The 15,792-nt window shown below is 56.6% G+C and overlaps 1 protein-coding gene and 1 long non-coding RNA gene across 3 annotated transcripts, besides 6 other annotated features; both read left to right on the top strand.

Moving 5' to 3' along the window:
- CKB (creatine kinase B) lies at positions 148–3,311 on the top strand. Of its 2 annotated transcripts, NM_001823.5 has the most exons (8): positions 148–212; positions 473–677; positions 801–955; positions 1,028–1,160; positions 1,544–1,715; positions 2,386–2,509; positions 2,667–2,856; positions 2,936–3,311. In NM_001823.5, exons 2-8 carry the CDS (start codon positions 485–487, stop codon positions 3,112–3,114), a joined length of 1,146 nt encoding a protein of 381 aa, NP_001814.2. In that variant the 5' UTR covers positions 148–212; positions 473–484; the 3' UTR covers positions 3,115–3,311. The 2 variants fall into 2 exon arrangements, with proteins under 2 accessions (NP_001814.2, NP_001349460.1); NM_001362531.2 differs by having other exon boundaries at positions 801–1,160.
- Positions 1,270–1,319: a silencer, noted in NCBI's record as "silent region_6156". NCBI's record gives its function as "represses an Ori minimal core promoter by ATAC-STARR-seq in GM12878 lymphoblastoid cells {active_cell/tissue: GM12878}" and the evidence as "EXISTENCE:reporter gene assay evidence [ECO:0000049][PMID:35858748]".
- Positions 1,460–1,529: a silencer, noted in NCBI's record as "silent region_6155". NCBI's record gives its function as "represses an Ori minimal core promoter by ATAC-STARR-seq in GM12878 lymphoblastoid cells {active_cell/tissue: GM12878}" and the evidence as "EXISTENCE:reporter gene assay evidence [ECO:0000049][PMID:35858748]".
- Positions 1,540–1,909: a silencer, noted in NCBI's record as "silent region_6154". NCBI's record gives its function as "represses an Ori minimal core promoter by ATAC-STARR-seq in GM12878 lymphoblastoid cells {active_cell/tissue: GM12878}" and the evidence as "EXISTENCE:reporter gene assay evidence [ECO:0000049][PMID:35858748]".
- Positions 1,540–2,570: a biological region, named in NCBI's record as "H3K27ac-H3K4me1 hESC enhancer GRCh37_chr14:103986745-103987632".
- Positions 1,683–2,570: an enhancer, noted in NCBI's record as "H3K27ac-H3K4me1 hESC enhancer chr14:103986745-103987632 (GRCh37/hg19 assembly coordinates)". NCBI's record gives its function as "activates a minimal SCP1, AML or CMV promoter by ChIP-STARR-seq in naive H9 embryonic stem cells {active_cell/tissue: H9 hESC(naive)}" and the evidence as "EXISTENCE:reporter gene assay evidence [ECO:0000049][PMID:30033119]".
- Positions 4,347–5,234: an enhancer, noted in NCBI's record as "H3K4me1 hESC enhancer chr14:103984081-103984968 (GRCh37/hg19 assembly coordinates)". NCBI's record gives its function as "activates a minimal SCP1, AML or CMV promoter by ChIP-STARR-seq in naive H9 embryonic stem cells {active_cell/tissue: H9 hESC(naive)}" and the evidence as "EXISTENCE:reporter gene assay evidence [ECO:0000049][PMID:30033119]".
- On the top strand, positions 11,328–15,578 carry LOC112268130 (uncharacterized). The gene is made up of 2 exons (XR_002957595.1): positions 11,328–11,453; positions 11,764–15,578. It is a non-coding gene; the product is annotated as an uncharacterized LOC112268130 (long non-coding RNA).
- Positions 15,579–15,792: the final 214 nt, after the last annotated feature.

The raw sequence follows: 15,792 nt of genomic DNA, 5'->3' as shown, positions 1-15,792 counted from the left end.
GCCAGGGTGTTGGGGGCTGCGGGCGGCGGACAAAGCGGCGGCACCACCCCGCGGCGCGGGCCAATGGAATGAATGGGCTATAAATAGCCGCCAATGGGCGGCCCGCGTTGTGCCCCTTAAGAGCCGCGGGAGCGCGGAGCGGCCGCTGTTCGCCTGCGTCGCTCCGGGAGCTGCCGACGGACGGAGCGCCCCCGCCCCCGCCCGGCCGCCCGGTGAGTGGGCCCGGGGGCCGGGGGCGTCCGCGCCCGGGCTAGGGGCGCTGCGTGCAAAGGGGGCGCGTCGCCTGGAGCGCGCGCCGGACCGGCCGGGGGTCCCCGGCGATGATGGCGCTCCCCGCGCGCGCTGCGGACCCCGCTGACCTTGGCCGCGTCCCGGGGGGCGCCGGGGGGCCCGGCGGCGGGGGCCTGAGTGGTACGCGGGAGCCCGGGAACCCCGGCGTGCCGGTCCCCTCTGACCCCGCGTCTCCCCGCAGCCCGCCGCCGCCATGCCCTTCTCCAACAGCCACAACGCACTGAAGCTGCGCTTCCCGGCCGAGGACGAGTTCCCCGACCTGAGCGCCCACAACAACCACATGGCCAAGGTGCTGACCCCCGAGCTGTACGCGGAGCTGCGCGCCAAGAGCACGCCGAGCGGCTTCACGCTGGACGACGTCATCCAGACAGGCGTGGACAACCCGGGTACGCGACCCCTCGGGGCCGGGGTCCCGGCCCCCCCTCCCCCCGCGCAGCCGCAGGGTCCTCAGCAGCGCGCTCGGGCCCGGCAGTGACGTCACTGTCCCCGTCCCGCGCCCCCTCCCCCAGGCCACCCGTACATCATGACCGTGGGCTGCGTGGCGGGCGACGAGGAGTCCTACGAAGTGTTCAAGGATCTCTTCGACCCCATCATCGAGGACCGGCACGGCGGCTACAAGCCCAGCGATGAGCACAAGACCGACCTCAACCCCGACAACCTGCAGGTGCGGGGCTGCGGGCGGGCCGGGCGGGCGGGGCCGGGGTCTTCGGGCGCTCACTCCCGTCTCGCCTCCCAGGGCGGCGACGACCTGGACCCCAACTACGTGCTGAGCTCGCGGGTGCGCACGGGCCGCAGCATCCGTGGCTTCTGCCTCCCCCCGCACTGCAGCCGCGGGGAGCGCCGCGCCATCGAGAAGCTCGCGGTGGAAGGTAGGGGCCGGGCGGGCCGAGGGGCGGCGGCGGCCGCGTCCCCCTCCCGGCGCGGTCCCCGCCCGCTTTTGTTTACGTCGCCCGGGAGCGGCAGCCGCCGTCGCGCTCTTATCTGCGCGCGCCCGGGTTCAGTTTCCCGGAGGGACCGAGGGACGGAGGCCCAGCCCCGCGCCCACAGCGGCCTGGGGCCCAGGGAGGGCGGGTCCTGGCGCGGGGTCACCGCCTGGGACCGTCGCCCGGGCCGTGAGGACTGGACGCCCGCAGATCCGGGCGGGTGGGGCCCTCTGACGTCCCCCGAGGTGGGGCACGGGGGCGGGCGGGTCCGCGCTGCGGGCTGGAGGGGCGGGCGCGGGAGCCGAGCGTCCTGAGCGCACCCCTCGCAGCCCTGTCCAGCCTGGACGGCGACCTGGCGGGCCGATACTACGCGCTCAAGAGCATGACGGAGGCGGAGCAGCAGCAGCTCATCGACGACCACTTCCTCTTCGACAAGCCCGTGTCGCCCCTGCTGCTGGCCTCGGGCATGGCCCGCGACTGGCCCGACGCCCGCGGTATCTGGTGCGTGTCCCTCTGCGCCCTCTCGCGGCGTCCTCCCTCCCCGCTACCTCCGCTTTCCCTCTCGCCCCCCTCGCGGGGGTGGGGCCCCTCGCGGCGAGGAGGAGGAGGAGGAGGAGGGAGGGGCCGGCCGCGCTCCGGGTCTGGGTTCCGTGCCGCGCCTCCTCCTGCGCCGGTGACCTTGGCCGAGCAGGTGCGTTAAGGGACTGGGCCCCGGCCCGTGGGGGCTCAGGACTCAGCAACACCTCCCCACCCCGAGACGTGAGGTGGGGGCGGGGCTCTCTGGCGCCTCTCCCCGACGGCCCTGGGAGCTGGAGCTCTTTGTTTTCTTTTCTCACTCCTCCGCCGCTGGGATTCTACCAGGGGCTGGTGACGCCAAAGCTTCTCCAGGGGCAGGGCTCCTACCCCCACTGTGGGGGGCGGGTCGGGCTGTCCTGGCGGTCCCTGGCCCCGCCCCACCTCAGGCCACAGCGCATGATGGCAGCTGGGGTTCTCCTGCTGTGAGGCGTCCCGGTTCCCCCGCCCGCCCCGTGTTGGCGGGTGGAGTCTTGGCAGCAGCCTCCACTCCTGGGCATGGCAGGGAGCAGCACCTCAGGGACTTGGGAAGTTCCTTTGGTCTGGGGGCGGCCTGGGGCTTTTTTCTGGGTATGCCCTGAGACCAGCCCTCCCGCAGGCACAATGACAATAAGACCTTCCTGGTGTGGGTCAACGAGGAGGACCACCTGCGGGTCATCTCCATGCAGAAGGGGGGCAACATGAAGGAGGTGTTCACCCGCTTCTGCACCGGCCTCACCCAGGTGCCAGGGACGGGGCAGGCCCAGACCCCAGGGCCCCAGCAGGGATGTGGGTGCCCCAGCATCAGTCCCCCCGGGGGATTTCCGGCACTGGGGAGTCTCAGGGCCTGTAGGGGTTTCAGGCAGGCCTTCTCCCTCATACCCTCTTCTCCGTCTGCAGATTGAAACTCTCTTCAAGTCTAAGGACTATGAGTTCATGTGGAACCCTCACCTGGGCTACATCCTCACCTGCCCATCCAACCTGGGCACCGGGCTGCGGGCAGGTGTGCATATCAAGCTGCCCAACCTGGGCAAGCATGAGAAGTTCTCGGAGGTGCTTAAGCGGCTGCGACTTCAGAAGCGAGGCACAGGTGAGCAGGGCAGGTGCTGCGGCTTCCCGTGGCCTTTGGGCAGCCCTGTTTCCTCCGCCCTGACTTGCTGTCTCCCCAGGCGGTGTGGACACGGCTGCGGTGGGCGGGGTCTTCGACGTCTCCAACGCTGACCGCCTGGGCTTCTCAGAGGTGGAGCTGGTGCAGATGGTGGTGGACGGAGTGAAGCTGCTCATCGAGATGGAGCAGCGGCTGGAGCAGGGCCAGGCCATCGACGACCTCATGCCTGCCCAGAAATGAAGCCCGGCCCACACCCGACACCAGCCCTGCTGCTTCCTAACTTATTGCCTGGGCAGTGCCCACCATGCACCCCTGATGTTCGCCGTCTGGCGAGCCCTTAGCCTTGCTGTAGAGACTTCCGTCACCCTTGGTAGAGTTTATTTTTTTGATGGCTAAGATACTGCTGATGCTGAAATAAACTAGGGTTTTGGCCTGCCTGCGTCTGAGTGGTGCCTCTCCTTTCCCAGGGGGGAGGGGGAAGGGCAGCAGCCAGGCCCCAGGAGTCTTGAGTCCTGGGCCTGCTGTGGGCCTCGCCTTCTGTGAGATGGGACAAGAGCCAGGAGGTGGCCACTCTGTTCTGCCTGCCCTACCTAGTCCATGGGCCCCTTCCCTCGTGTCTATCGGGCTGTGCAGGCAGGAACATGGGAGAGAGCGAGGGAGGAGCTCCAGGCCTGAGCATCTGAGGGCATTCAGGCCTGGGTGTGGAGCCTGGCACGTTCCTCAGGCCCATCCTGCAGGGTGGGGGAGGTAGGGATAGTGGAGGTGGGGGGTTGACCTCAGAAACTTGAGAGCTTTCCGGTCCCTCCAACTGGCTTCCTCCTCCAGTCTTCCAAGCTGCAACACTATCAGATGCAGGCATCTCCCTGCCTCCTTCCTACCCCGCCAACACCTACTCTCTATCTTCTCTTCCCTGCTTCCTTCCCTCCCAGCCTCGGCCTTCAGGCTGAACAGCCCCCCTGGCTCCACTGGTCATTGGGCTCAGTCCTCAAGACCCTCTAGCAGCCCTGGGGAGCCACTGGTCCCCCCTTTACTGGCAGGCTCCTCTTCAGGGGCCTCTGGGTGTCCAGCCCCTTGGCCTCAAGGTGGAACCACAAGGTAGGGACCCTGGGCAGAAGGGGGGTTGGGGCTGTTTAGGGCTTGGTCGCCCTGGTCCCTGGTGCAACCCCCCCGCCAACTCACCCTAGTTGCCAGTTGCCACTGTCCCTGCCCAGCCTCTGGCTCAGGGCTCCTACCATGATTGGGCACCCTGAGGGGCTCGGCCAGCTCAGGGAGTGGAGGCGGATAGGTGAGCCAGCGGGGGCTAGGAATCCTGCTCCCCACCTTCCTCCAGCTCCTAAGCGCCAAGGACGCAGCCTGTGCTGCCACCTGCTGGCCAGGGCCTCCTCTGCCCCACCCCTGGGGATCAGGGTCTGGGACAGGCCTCATCCTGCATCTCCATGCCCACCTGGACACTAAAAGCTGCGGATCACTGGGCTCTCACCTCCTTGGGACACGAGGGGATTGCCAACCTAGACACTGGGGCCCAGGAGCAGCAGTGGGGTGCATCCCTGAATCTGCTGCTGGGCTTGGCTTGTGGGGGGTCCTAAGGGCAGGGTTGAAGTGTCCACCTCCCTGAGTGAACACCTGGTAGGCTAGGGGCATAGGGGGCAGGTCCCCTGGTGCAGAAGGCTGGGGGGACTTCTGCATCCAGCCTTTGGACCCTAGACTGGGCCCTCCCTGGCTGACCAGCCTGGGCACAAGGCCAGTTTCTGGCTTAGCCTTTTGCTAGGAAGGCCCGGGCCAGGATAGGCCGAGCTGTACAATCGAGAGTCTTGGGAGAAGGGCGGGGACGAAGGGCCCGAGGTGAGCACAGGAAGTGAGCCCCTCCAGAAAGGGGAGGCTGAGGGCAGTGAGGAAGGGGTGCAGACCCAGTGGGGACCTGACCAGCAAAGCCCCACCCCCAGGGGGCCTTGTCAGTGCTGCCCTCCTCCCGCTCAACAGCGGCAGCCCCTCCTGCTGGCTCAGTCCCTCTCATCACGGCTTGGGCAGAGCCAGCCTGACAATCGCTGGGGTGGTGTGGGCCCCACTCCGAGGTGAACACAGGGCTGAGGGCATGGCTGGGCAGGCCTAACACTTGTGTTTCAACGCTCCCCTTTTCCCATGTTGACTCTCAGAGTGGGGCACTCCTAGAACCACCGGTGGTCAAACAAGCGGAACCCCTAATCACCCCATGCAGGCCTCTCAACGCACTGTCCGGGGAGGCCGAGAAGGCTGGGCCTGGCTCAGGACCACTTCTGAGGCAGTAAAACTCTGAAGGTGGGTGGGGCCTTGGCTGGCCTGTGGCGCCCACAGGGCCTGGACCCCCAGCTCTCCGGGCCCCACTCTCCTCCCTGTGCCTCACGTATTTTATCTTACTGCATTAATTCTTTTGGGGACCAGGCAGGGCCTAAAATACACTCCCCTCAGTGGGGGAGCTACAGTCGTCTGCCTGTGCCACTAGTTCCACGGAGCCTCCAACCACAGTCTAGACAGCCTTCCTTTTTCCTCAGACTCCGCAGACTTTAACAGGCAATTCTCCTTGAAAGCACTGTCAAACATGGACAGCAAAGGACAGTATCTAGGGGCGGCAGGGACACAGGGAGATGTTCTGGCTGTTGGACACATCTCCCTGCAGGGCAATCTGGCTGCACCAAGCCCCACCTCAGCTGTCCCTCCTGTCCACTCAGGGACTTCCCAGCTAGGGAAGGAGTCCACGGCGGGGTTTCCGCAGTGGCGCTCCAGACACTTGGGCCGGACCACTCTGGTGGGGGCCGTCCTGTGCGCTGCAGGACGTCCAGCAGCAGCCCTGGCCTCCAACTGCTGCATGCCAGTAGTCCTCGCTTCCCCAACTTATGACAATAAAAAATGTCTAGACATTCACAAATGCCCCTTAGGGGGCAAAACAGCCCCCCTTCCTCGAGTCCCGTTGCCCTACAGAAATATAAGTGAACAATGACTGAGAACAGGGAAACTGTAAGGGCTTGCTGACACTGAAGAGTGGCTACAGCCCCACCCCTCCTCTGGGGTCCTGTGCAGACAGGGAGGACAGTGTGAGGAATCTAGTGAGGTGGTGACATGCTGAGAAAAGCTCAAGAGCAGAAGCAGGTTATAAAACAGCTTGTGCTCTGAGATCCCACACAGAATATGTATGGAAAAACCCCAAAGAACAGTAGTCACTGTGGGTGGTGGGGTAACAGGTGATTTCCTTCTTTATATTTTCCAAATTTTCTACAGGGCACATGTATTACTTATATAAGCCAAAATAATGTTTTTAATGGTGTTTTGTAGAAAATGCTGTCATGTGTTCCAGTCTGCGGAAGCCCACCAAGCAGCAGCAAGACTTTACCACTACCACGGCCTGAGGCCTCACAGACAGGGAAACTCAGGTTCAGAGAGGAAGACAGACCGGTCCGGCCTCGCCGGCTCTAACTCCTGGGCTCTTTTCACTGCTCTTCTGAGAACATTCTAGCCTCCCACAGTTGGGACCTGCTTGTCTTAGCAGTGGCTTAAAAGGCTGCACTTGCCCCTTCTGCATTTCTATTTCGAGCCAGCGGGCACTTCCTAAAGCCTCCCAGAGCACCCTTCAGGGGTTGCACATTGGACCCACATGGATGTGAAGTGAGTCTCCTTTTCTACAGGTAAAAAGAAAACAGTAATTTGATTGGCAAGAAGTCTTTTGGCCGTGAGGTTTCCACTGAGCAGATGACAGCATTTCAGCTTAGATAAGTGAGGCTTTTTTGGTACTGCTGAGAAGGCTGAGGCTTTTTTTCTTTTTTTAGACGGAGTTTTGGTCTCATTGCCCAGGCTGGAGTGCAATGGCACGATCTTGGCTCACAGAAACCTCCGCATCCTGGGTTCAAGAAAAGTCTCCTGCCTCAGCCTCCAGAGTAGCTGGGATTACAGGCATGTGCCACCACACCTGGCTAATTTTGTATTTTTAGTAGAGATGGGGTTTCTCCATGTTGGTCAGGATGGTCTCAAACTCCTGACCTCAGGTGATCCGCCCACCTCAGCCTCCCCAAAGTGCTGGGATTACAGACGTAAGCCACCGTGCCCGGCCAGGCTGAGGTTTTTTACACGCAGACTTCTCAGTCTGGCTAGAGGCTTTCTGCACTCGCAGTGACTGAACTTTTTTGAGGCGGGATTTCACTCTGTCACCCAGGCTGGAGGGCAGTTGCACGATCGCGGCTCATTGAAGCCTTGACCTGCCTGGGCTCAGGTGATCCTCCCACCTCAGCCTCCCAAGTAGCTGTGTGACTGCAGGGACGTGCCACCACACCTGTCTAATTTTTTCTATTTTTTTTTTCTTTGTAGAGACGGGGTTTTGCCATGTTGCCCAGGCTGGTCTCGAACTCCTGGGCTCAAGCCTTTCCCCTGCCTCAGCCTTCCACAGTGCTGGGATTACAGGTGTGAGCCACTGTGCCCAGCTGGTTGGACTCTTTCCACCTTTTTCCCCAAACCCAACTTTGTATTGTTTTGCTTGGGTTCAGAAGTCCTGATTTTCACACCCTTTTCAGGCCTGGGGATTTACCAAAATTTAAGGCTTAACAAAAATTAAGGCCCCCCAAAAGATAAAAGTGCTACTGCCAGTGGCACCTGTCTCTGATTCACCTTCATGGCACGGATGCTGGTGGTCCCCTAGCAGCCATTCTCCCCTCTGCTTGAGTGACAGCGCCCTGGTTTCCAGCCTGCACGCAGCTGCCTGGCTGTGAAAGCACACTTTCAAGACTCCCATGCAGCTAGGGGTGGCCAGGTATCAACGTGCTCCAGCAGCTGCCCAGGCTGTGAGGACAAGGCCGTCCTCGGTGCTGTGGGGCGAAATGCCTGCGTGTGTGCAGCCTGGCACCAACTCCTGAGGTGCTGGCAACATTCCTGCTGTGGTGAAGGGGCTGCAACCCTGTTCTACCATTCATGAATCCCATGCAGCGTGGGGTTCGGCTTGGGATCCTGCTGGGCTTGCAGAGGAATTGGCCCAGTGGCTCCAGGTACTCCACACCCACTTGCACTCAGGACGGCACCAACCCCTCCAGACGTGTTTGTTGCCTGTTTGCCTAACCTGGGGCAGGGCTCCCACCTGCATGTCTGCTCTCTGCTTCCCACAATCGCCCGAATCCCCTCTGGGAGGACTGCCCTGCCTGCCCAGGCCTCCTTCCCGGAGGGCCTCCTTCTGCATCCCTCTTCCCCTCCGGCTCTGTCCTGTCTCTTCCCCATTAGAGGACTGCTGGGCTGGTGAGCCTTCTCTCTTGAGAATGCGGCCTGCTCCCAGGGCAGGGCTTAGGTCTTGCTTCATTACTCTCATTCCACCTATACTCAGCTGCACCCATTACTGGTATATGTGGTCTGTGTTAACACACATCAAAGCTATTCCGGAAATATACAACTTATAGCAAAAAGACAGAAACTCCCATTAAAATTAAAATGAAAAGTCTAGTTTTGTCAATACTTTTGACCCATCGACTACCCAACATATTAAATGGCACTTCAAATGTGTTACACTCTCAAAAAGAAAAGAAATATAGCAATCAACTCAACCAAAAAAAAAAAAAAAAAAGAAATAATAAAGGTGGTGCTACTCATCTATACCCAAAATTGTTCCTTTAAAATGTATTATTTTTTATTTTTTTTTTGAGATAGGGTCTTGAAGTCACCCAGGCTGGAGTGCAGTGGGCAGGATCACAGGTCACTGCAGCCTCAATCTCCCGGGCTCAAGTGATCCTCCCTCCTCAGCCTCCCCAGTAGCTGGGACCACAGGAGCGCATCTCCACGTCTGGCTAATTCTAAAATTTTTTTTTGTAGAGACGGGGTGTCTCGCCATGTTGCCCGCCCAGGCTGGTCTTGAACTCCTGGCCTGAGCGATCCTCTTGCCTCGGCCTCCCAAAGTGCTGGGATTACAGGTGTGAGCCACTCTGCCTGGCCCCAAAACTGCTGTGCTTCTGAGGGACCCCTGTGCTGCAGCCCCCACCCAAGTCACAGCAGCAGCACCTACCTGGGGGACAAAACGCTGTGGCAGAGGGGCCAGAGTCTGGCCTGACCCTATTCACTCTTCCTTGGGATCAGAAAGGAGCATGGGGATTGCTTTCCTCTGTTCTCTTGGCCTTGACACAGGATAACATGACTAACTTTGTCAGCAAAGTTCCAGTGTTTTGGTTAAATTAATGAAATATACAGGTGGAGTATCCCAAATCCAAACATCTGAAATCTAAAATACTCCAAAACCTGAACCTGAGTGCGGATGTAATGCTAAAAGGGAGTGCTCACTCATGCATTTCAGAGTTCAGATGTTCAAATTTGGGATGCTTAACCAGTAGGTATAATGCAAATATTCCAAAATCTGAAAAAACCCCAAACCCGAAACACCTGTGGGTGGTCCCAAGCATTTCAGATAAAGTATTCCCAAACCAGGAAATGCAAGCCAGCAAAATGTGCCCTATGTACTTAGTGATATCAACACAAAAGGACACACAGCATCACCATTCTGGGGAGCAGCAACTCCCACCCACAGCGACAGGCTGAGGAGATGTCCGAGCAGCATGGGACAAGCTTGTTGGAGCCCTCTAGAGCCCACAGAATGGAGGTAGCAGAGGAGTGGCCAGTGGATTAGGGTGGAGAGCACGAGAACCACATGTCCCAGAGACAGCCGAGCTGTGTACTAAAGAGCAGCGGAGGCCAGCCTGTAGCAGGGGAGTGACTGGCAGAGCAGAACTCGCGGAGTGCACAGGTGCGTTTGGGAAGGGGTGGAGTGGAGGGTGGTGGCGGGTTGGAAATGCTCTCTGAGGCATGCTCCACCCAGGGACTTCTGGTGCCACATTAATGAACATGACTACATATGCTCCTACTTCCCAGCTGACTTCCATGCAAAACATAACTGCTTTGAGAATGTGCTCACGCCTACCCACGCCTGCTGGCAGCTTCCTCCTGAGAGGAGGCTGAGGCGAGTCAGAGCAGGCCTTGCTTTGGTAGGCGCCAGCACAGGCAGTCTCATGCCAGGCTCTCTGGGTTCGCCAGGCTCTGGCTGTCTGGTGCAGCATTAGTCTGCTTTGGTCTGGCAGCAGCACAACCCTGCCCAAAGCCTGCTAGGTCACTCCCTAATGAAGTACTGGGGAATGAAGGCCCCTTCACAGAAGTGCAGTGTCTCAGAGTCTGAGACATAACATGTTGGGCTAGTGACAAGAAAGAGCCTGCCCAGGAGTTGGCGGCCCAGCCGCTGCCCCCACGCCTGAGTTGGAGATGAGCCAGGCCCCTGGCGCCTGCCTCTGCACGTGCCACTCCTCTCTCTCCCACTGAGCGGACTCGGTGCACCGCCACCTCTACGTGCCTCCCCTGTACCCAGGCCTGACTCCCTTCGGCCAGGGCCCTGGCCTTCCTGAACGCAGCATCAGCCCATCCTAGTATCACACCAGTGCCCCTCGCCTCCCTGTGCGATGAGGTAGTCGAGGCCAGGAGGTTTTACCTTGTTTATTTTTGTATCTCCAGGGGTCAGCACAGAGGTGCTTCTCCTACCTTAACCCTCAAAATATGGCTACAATGAATGAACACATGAACAAATGATTGATGAGAAGTCTTCCTGTCTTGTTCTAGAACACCTGAAAATAACTGGGGCAGCTTAACTTGGAGAAGCAAGAATTTAGGGAGGAGGCCGGGTGTGGTGGTGGGCGCCTGTAATCCCAGATACTTGGGAGGCTGAGGCAGGAGAATCGCTTGAGCCCGGGAGGCGGAGCTTGCAGTGAGCTGAGATCACAGGAGAATCACTTGAACCTGGGAGGCGGAGGTTGCAGTGAGCTGAGATCGCACCACAGCACTCCAGCCTGGGCGACAGAGTGACACTCTGTCTGGAAGAAAAAAAAAAAAAAAAAAAAAAAAAGAATTCAGAGAGGGAACACATTTTTAATCTTCAAATACTTGTCTTTTTTTTTTTTTTTTTTTTTTTTTTGAGACGGAGTCTCACTCTGTCGCCCAGGCTGGAGTGCAGTGACGTGGTCTCAACTCACTGCAACCTCTGCCTCCTGTGTTCAGGCGATTCTCCCGCCTCGGCCTCCCAAGTAGCTGGGACTACAAGCACGTGCCAACACACCCGGCTAATTTTTGTATTTTTAGTAGAGACGGGGTTTCACTATGTTGGCCAAGCTGCTCTCGAACTCCTGACCTCGTGATCTGCCCGCCTCGGCCTCCCAAAGTGCTGGGATTACAGGCGTGAGCCACTGTGCCCGGCCTTGTTTTTGTTTGTGAGATAGAGTTTTGCTCTGTCGCCCAGGCTGGAGTCCAGTGGCGTGGTCTCAGCTCACTCCGACCTCCACCTCCCAGGTTCAAGTGATTCTCCTGCCTCAGCCTCTTGAGTAGCTGGAATTACAGGCACTGCCACTATGCCTGGCTAATTATTATTTTTTGTATTTTTAGCAGAGACGGGGTTTCACCAGGTTGGCTAGGCTGGTCTCGATTCCTGACCTCAAGTGATCTTCCTGCCTCAGCTTCCCAAAGTGCTGGGATTACAGGCATGAGCCGCCGCGCCTGGCCATTGAGTCTTGAATAGTTAAAACTTCCAAGAGGAGGAGACTGCCAGGGTGGTAAGGAGGCCCATGTGCACGCGGAGCAGCAGAAGCAGCCGAAGCAGCTGAACTCCCCCCACAGGTCCTGGGGGCGGGCTGTGAGCGTCCCGGCACTGCAGGTGCCCGCAGATGCAGGCGGGGCACAGGATGAGCCATTGGAGACTTCCCTCTTGCTTGAGAGATGGGTTCTAGAATGCTGTTTTAAAATAACTCTTAGAGGTGGGTTAAGTGGGTGGAATATAGATAGAGCAGGAAACTGCAGAAGGCACTGGCTGGGGGAAAGAGTCCCCTCAGAGATGAGGATGAGTTGAGTTTTTTCTCTGTTCAGTGACCGCGCCCCCTGCCCCCGCTCCAGCGAAGCCCCCTGTTTATCAACCCACTTGGTCAGAAGACATTTCACCACAGCCAGAAACCAGGTATGAATGAATACCCAGGGAGCTGGAAACGCAAATAAGAACCTCAGAACTTATAAGCAATCAGCCCCATCACTCTAACAACAATAACAACAACAAAATAAATCAACAAAGCTTACTGAACCAAAGCCAATGGCAACAAAGAATGCTGAAGTGGCCCCCAGATTCCCCTGGCTCCACCCTCAGGACCAGCTTTCCTTCTTCTGTGAGAGACCCGTGCAGGCCCTTTAACCAGCCGGACTCCGCTCGGAGGGTCTCGCCTCGGCCTGGTGCTATGACTGCTGATGCCTACACAACTGCTTCCCCTCCTCACTAAACCCCAGCTCCCATGCTGCCACCAAGCGGCAGGTTGCTATTCTTTCCCGGGGTTGAAATCCAAATACTACCTGGGCTGTGTGACTCTCTAGTGTGGATGCAGATTAGGGTGGTAAGCCAAAGGGTTGAACTCCCAGTTCCACACCCGATGGGAAATGTCATCTCTACACAGGGTCAGCTACTTCATGTCCATCGCACGCACCACCACCACGTGCATGGTCTGCACCTGACCCAAGCTGAATGATGGACATCACCTGTGTAAGCATCTTGATGAAGGGAAAAGCTCACTGGGTGCCAGTCCCATCCCTTCCGTCCTCTGGGCCTCAGTCTTCTCTGTCAAACAGGCAAGACTCAAAAGGCTCCTGGAGACCCAACAGGCCAGGCTATAAAGCAAGACATGACCCCAGAGCAGCCACCTATCTCATCCTTGGGCCAGCCGGGGCAGGGGCAGCTGGGGGGACCTCAGTGACACTTTTGACTGCAAGCCACTGAAAATGTCTTGTACTTGCTATGTATCTCCTGCTTGCTTCCTATCATTTTTTTTTTAAAAAACACTAATTGTGCACTAAGTGCCTTTGCCAGGCACTATTCTAGGTACTTGGAATAGAGGAAAAGAAAAAGGATGAAGATCGCTGCCGCATGGGGCTCACATTCTAGTAAGTGTGGGGAGAGTAGCCACAAAGGGCAACACAACTGTGTAACTCATGCTGACGTTGGTGTGACAGGGGCAGATGGTGAAAGGGCAGAGTTGGGCACAGAGGCCCGAGTGCGCTTTTTGGTGTCACAGCCAGGGCAGGCCTCTTAGAGGAGGAGGGAGGCAGAGAGCCTTCAGTTGGTCTAAGCTCTTACCCCAAGCTCATTGCTTTTACCTGTTCTCTAGGAATATCTGCAAAAGCTCTGGCCCAGGGAGGTGGCAGTACAGGCCTGTAAACTCCTAATAGAAGGTCCAGAGTCCAGAACTCTCCATCTTAGAAATGGGAACAATTTCCTTACCAAGTCTCCACTCGATAGGCAATGTCCTCTCCTGAGGGCCAGGGAGCACGCCATTCAAGGACTTGACTGCACTGGCTAAGCCAGGAGAGGGAGGAAGAGAAGAGGGTTAGTGTGTGATTTTTTTTTTTTTTTTCGGAGACAGGGTCTGGCTCTGCCATCCAGGCTGGAGTGCAGTGGTGCAATCTTGGCTCACTGCAACCTCTGCCTCCTGGGTTCAAGCTATTCTCGTGTCTTAGCCTCCCAAGTAGCTGGGACTCCAGGTGCATGCCACCACGCCCAGCTAATTTTTGTATTTTTAGTAGAGATGGGGTTTTGCCATGTTGGCCAGGCTGGTCTTGAAATCCTGACCTCAAGTGATCCATCCACTTCAGCCTCCCAAAATGCTGGGATTATTGGTGTGAGCCACTGTGCCTGGCCTTTAATGGAACTTTTCAAGGAACCATTCAAAAATAGTTGTTGGGGCTGGGTGAGGTGGCTCACGCCTGTAGTCCCAGTACTTTGGGAGGCTGAGGTAGGAGGATTGCCTGAGCCCAGGAATTCAAACCAGCCTAGGCAACAGAACAAGACCCTGTCTGTACGAAAAATAAAATTAGCTGGGCACAAGCCTGTGGTCCCAGCTACTCAGGAGGTTGAGGTGGGAGGATCACTTGAGCCCAGGAGGTCAAGGCTGCACTGAGCTGTGATTGCGCCACTGTACTTCAGTCTGGGTGACAGAACGAAACCCTGTCTCAAAAACAAAACGAAACAAAACAAACCCAAGACAAACAAAACAAACAAAAATAGCTGTTGAACTGTTTCCTTTCTCCTCGACTGGCAATGACACTGAGTTCCTTCCACTCATGGAGGAGTCACTCCGGGACTCCCCGTGCACTGTCAGAACACCTCTAAGGCACCATCTTCACTTCACTCCCTTGAAGAGCAACAATCTCTCCCGTCTAAAGGGCCCCTGAGCTGCGTGGCAAACCAGCAATGAAAGAAACAAAAAACCTGCAACAGAGTCGTAAGGTTTCAACTCTTGAGCACAAGCTCTTTCTCATTTTGATGCCCCTCTGAGACGGACTGGAAGGGACAGTGCGTGGGAAACACCCCTCTTCTGCCCCTGCTCTGCCTGGTGCCACACCCATGGAAGGGGCAACTGCTCTGCAGACCTGAAGGTCAGCACGAAGGTCGCTTACTGGGTAGGGGCTGCCTGACGCAGCTTCCATAGTGACTATAATTTATTCACAGGCCCATGTATGGAGGTTTTTCTTCTAAATATCATTATTCTAAGCATCATCATGGGCACAGTGGCTCACGCCTGTAATTCCAGTACTTTGGGAGGTCGAGGCGGGAGGATCACGAGGTCAGGTGATCAAGACCATCCTGGCTAACACGGCAAAACCCCGTCTCTACTAAAAAATAGAAAAAATTAGCCAGGCGTGGTGGCAGGTGCCTGTAGTCCCAACTACTCGGGAGGCTGAGGCAGGAGAATGGTGTGAAGCCGGGAGACGGAGCTTGTAGTGAGCCGAGATCGCGCCACTGCACTCCAGCCTGAGCCACAGCGTGAGACTCTGTCTTAAAAAAATAAAAAAATAAAATAAAATAAAATAGAAATCATTATTGTCTAGGCTTTTGGAGAAGCATATGCTGTGAAAATGATCACGGCTGTGCTCCTAAAAGCCAGTCATGTTTCTGTAACAGTTTTCTGCATGGACCCTCACTTTCAGAAATGCAAAGGTGGCCTGAGAGCTGGGCACCTCACTTACTTGTAGGAGTATGGTTTTGGTTCCTCTAATGTGCCTGATGTAGAAGAGAGGGAAGTCGGCACTCAACGAAGAGGAACACCATTGTCAGGATTAGGAGAATGCTCTGCTTGGCAGGTAAATCAAACCAGCAGCACAGCCCCACTAGGTGTCTCACCTCACTTCTGAGAGATTTCCAGGTGGTTGATGAGGGAAAAATGCAGTCTCTTTTGATTTTCAATGGTCGTAGAATATCCCTTTTCAAAATTCATTGTATGCAGAATAAAAATGTCACATTCTGAGAATGGAGAATCTATAGAAAGGGCCTGGAACCTTAGTAATGAATGAGTTTTCACATTTTAACCTTCGTAAAGGGAATACTACCCATGTTGCCATGAAAATCAAGCCAAGATCAATTAGTAACATAGTCTTATAAACATAACGCACTTGGGTAACTTTCTGTGGATGAATACTAGTCTCTGAGACACGCACTCCTTATTTGACCAAGTAACACATTAAAACGCAGCCACTGCTTATGACAAGTGAGCCCCTCAAGAAAATACGAGCATAAAGAGTGGCCACTGCATCAGGGCATTCCAGAAACTCATTTTTCTTAAAGGAATTTAACTTCTAGTACTCAATGTGTCCTTGAGAATGCAAAAATGGAAAACAATTCAAAATCAGTCCCAGCTACAAAGATAAGGAAGAGGAAGTCCGCTGTGGCCCAGCCTCTGCTTGGCAGGGCTCTGCTCCACCTCTGCAGAAATTATGCACAGGAACCTGCTGTGATGGGTGTTTCTGGGGTAGGAATCTTTTTTTTTTTTTGAGATGAAGTCTTGCTCTGTTGCCCAGGTTTGAGCATAATGGCAAGATCTCGGTTCACTGCAACCTTCGCCTCCTGGGTTCAAGCGATTC

Source organism: Homo sapiens, chromosome 14 (assembly GCF_000001405.40).
Source record: "Homo sapiens chromosome 14, GRCh38.p14 Primary Assembly".
NCBI classification, from domain to species: Eukaryota; Metazoa; Chordata; class Mammalia; order Primates; family Hominidae; genus Homo; species Homo sapiens.
The sequence above is the reverse complement of the archived record's forward strand: the minus strand, read 5'-3'. Positions and strand labels throughout refer to the sequence as shown.